A 2,628-nucleotide genomic window follows, 5' to 3' on the forward strand; every position below is an offset into this window, starting at 1 on the left:
CACAGCAAAAACCAGCCAGCTTCTTAGGCATCTCTTACTGGTGCAGCTTACATGAAACACTTGTCTTTCATTTCAGATGCAGAGTGGAAATAATACTGTAGGAATAAATTCATACTAAAGTGTGAATGGTATACATAGGCCATTTCTTCCTTTGGCAAGTATCTCTTGAGAGCCAGCTGGTTAGGAGTCAGAGACTTGTCCTGGGCCATTCACTCACCTTTTTGCCTTCTGTTGTGAGAATTAAATAAGGAAATGTGGACCAAGAGCCTGGCACAGTAGAACCTTCTTATATTTTACTTCCCAATCTTTTTACACATCATGGAATGCATAGAAAATAATAATTTTTTTTTTTGCACAATGGAATAAAGTACGGACTTAGTGAAAAAAATCATCACATTACCTTTCTGTATACATTTAACTATGATAAAAATAATTTTAAAGGTATTGGGAGGCATTAAAGGTGAAATTGATATGAAACATCAAAATAAAGGCTTTTTAAAAAACATAATGAGAAACTTGGGCTTGCATTTATGTAAATACTTTTTTGTGTAAGTCCATTTGCTTGAACCAGCTACAATTACTGATTAAGACTTTTAGATTATTCCTTAGGTGAGTGAAACTGCCAACAAGTTCTGCAGGCAACTGGGATAGCAACTGCCCTTCCCGGTAGGCACACACATGCCAATCTCAGAAGGATTTGCATGGGTTCAGGAAAATTTAGGTGTTAATGTCTCAGTGTTAAGAAGTCTGCACATTTGGAATTTTCTGCAGATAATACATTAGAGATTTGGGACCTAGACTCTGGTGTGTAATTGCATAGTTACTTTAGACTTGTGGTTTCAGGTTGAAATCTAAGTTAACAAACTGTTGGAACATTTAAGAGAATATAAAGTTCATCATATTTCAAATTTAACTTACTGATACAAAGGCTCATTTAAGAGACTGAAAACCAATTTATTGTCAGATCACTGACATAATTAAAAAGGAAAATGAGTATATTAAACTTATAAAGGCAGTTTAGAATGTTGGAAGATATCTCCTTAATTAAATTTGCAATTGCACCAAATGTTGGCAAGGTGTAGTGGTTCAAGCCTGTAATCCCAGAACTTTGAGAGGCCGAGGCAGGAGGATTGCTTGAGGCCAGGAGTTTGAGACCAGCTTGGGCAATATAGTGAGACCCCCATCTCTACAAAAAATTAAAAAATTAGCTGAGCATCATGGCACATGCCTATATTCCCATCTATTCTGGGAGCTGAGGTGGGAGGACTGCTTGAACCCAAGAAGTCAAGGCTGCAGTAAGCTGTGACTATACCACTGCACTCCAGCCTGGGTGGCAGTGAGACCCTGTCAGAAAAAAAAAAAAGCAAATGATTTTCATCAAAGGCCTATTAAAAGTGATTGCTGGCTAAATATTAGTAGTAAACAATCCAAAAGTACAATTAAGAAAAACAATTTCATGTACATAACATCAAAAAGAAAAACATAGGAGTAAATTCAATTAAAAACTGCAAGATTTGTACACTGAAAACTACAAAACACTGTTGAAAGAAATTTAAAAACTCCTAAATAGATAGAAAGGAATCCATGGTTATGGATTGGAAAACCTAATATTAAGAATGCTATATTTCTCAAATTTATCTACAGAGGAATGCAATCCCTAGCAAACCCCAATGGGAAATGGCAATTTTGGAGAAATTCACGACCTGACCCTAAAATTCAAGTGGACATGCAAAGGACCCAGAATGGCCCAAATGATTTAGATCTTGAAAAAGAAGGACAAAAGTAGAGAGCTCACATTTCCTACTTTCAAAACTTAGTACAAAGCTACAGTAATCAATACAGTAAAAGTGGTATTAGCAAAAGTGTAGACATCACAACAACAGAATATAATTAAGAGTCCAGAAACAACTCGCCATATTCACAGTCAATTGATTTTTGACAAGGATGCTGTATTAATCTGTTTTCACACTGCTGATAAAGACATACCCAAGACTGGGTAAATTATAAAGAAAAAGAGGTTTAATTGACTCAGAGTTTCACGTGGATCATGGCGGAAGCAGAAAGGCACATATTACATTGGTGGCAGGCAAAAGAGAGAATGACAGCCAAGCGAGAGGGCCTTTGCTTTATAAAACCATCAGCTCTTGTGACACTTATTCACTACCATGAGAACAGTATGGGGGAAACCACCCCATGATTCAGTCATCTCCCACTGGGTCCCTCCCACAACACGTGCAGATTACAGGAGCTACAATTCAAGATGCGATTTGGATGGGGACACAGCCAGACCATATCAGATGCAAGAACAATCCAATGGAGAAAGAATAGTCTTAGGCCAGGTGTGGTGGCTCATGCCTGTAATCCCAGCACTTTGGGAGGCCAAGGTGGGCAGATCACAAGGTCAGGAGATCGAGACCATCCTGGCTAACACGGTGAAACCCCATCTCGACTAAAAATACAAAAAATTAGCCAGGCATGGTGGCGGGTGCCTGTAGTCCCAGCTACTCAGGAGGCTGAGGCAGGAGAATGGCGTGAACCTGGGAGGTGGAGCTTGCAGTGAGCAGAGATCGTGCCACTGCACTCCAGCCTGGGCGACAGAGCGAGACTCCGTCTCAAAAAAAAAAAAAA

This window comes from Homo sapiens, chromosome 2, assembly GCF_000001405.40.
Source record: "Homo sapiens chromosome 2, GRCh38.p14 Primary Assembly".
NCBI lineage: Eukaryota > Metazoa > Chordata > Mammalia > Primates > Hominidae > Homo > Homo sapiens.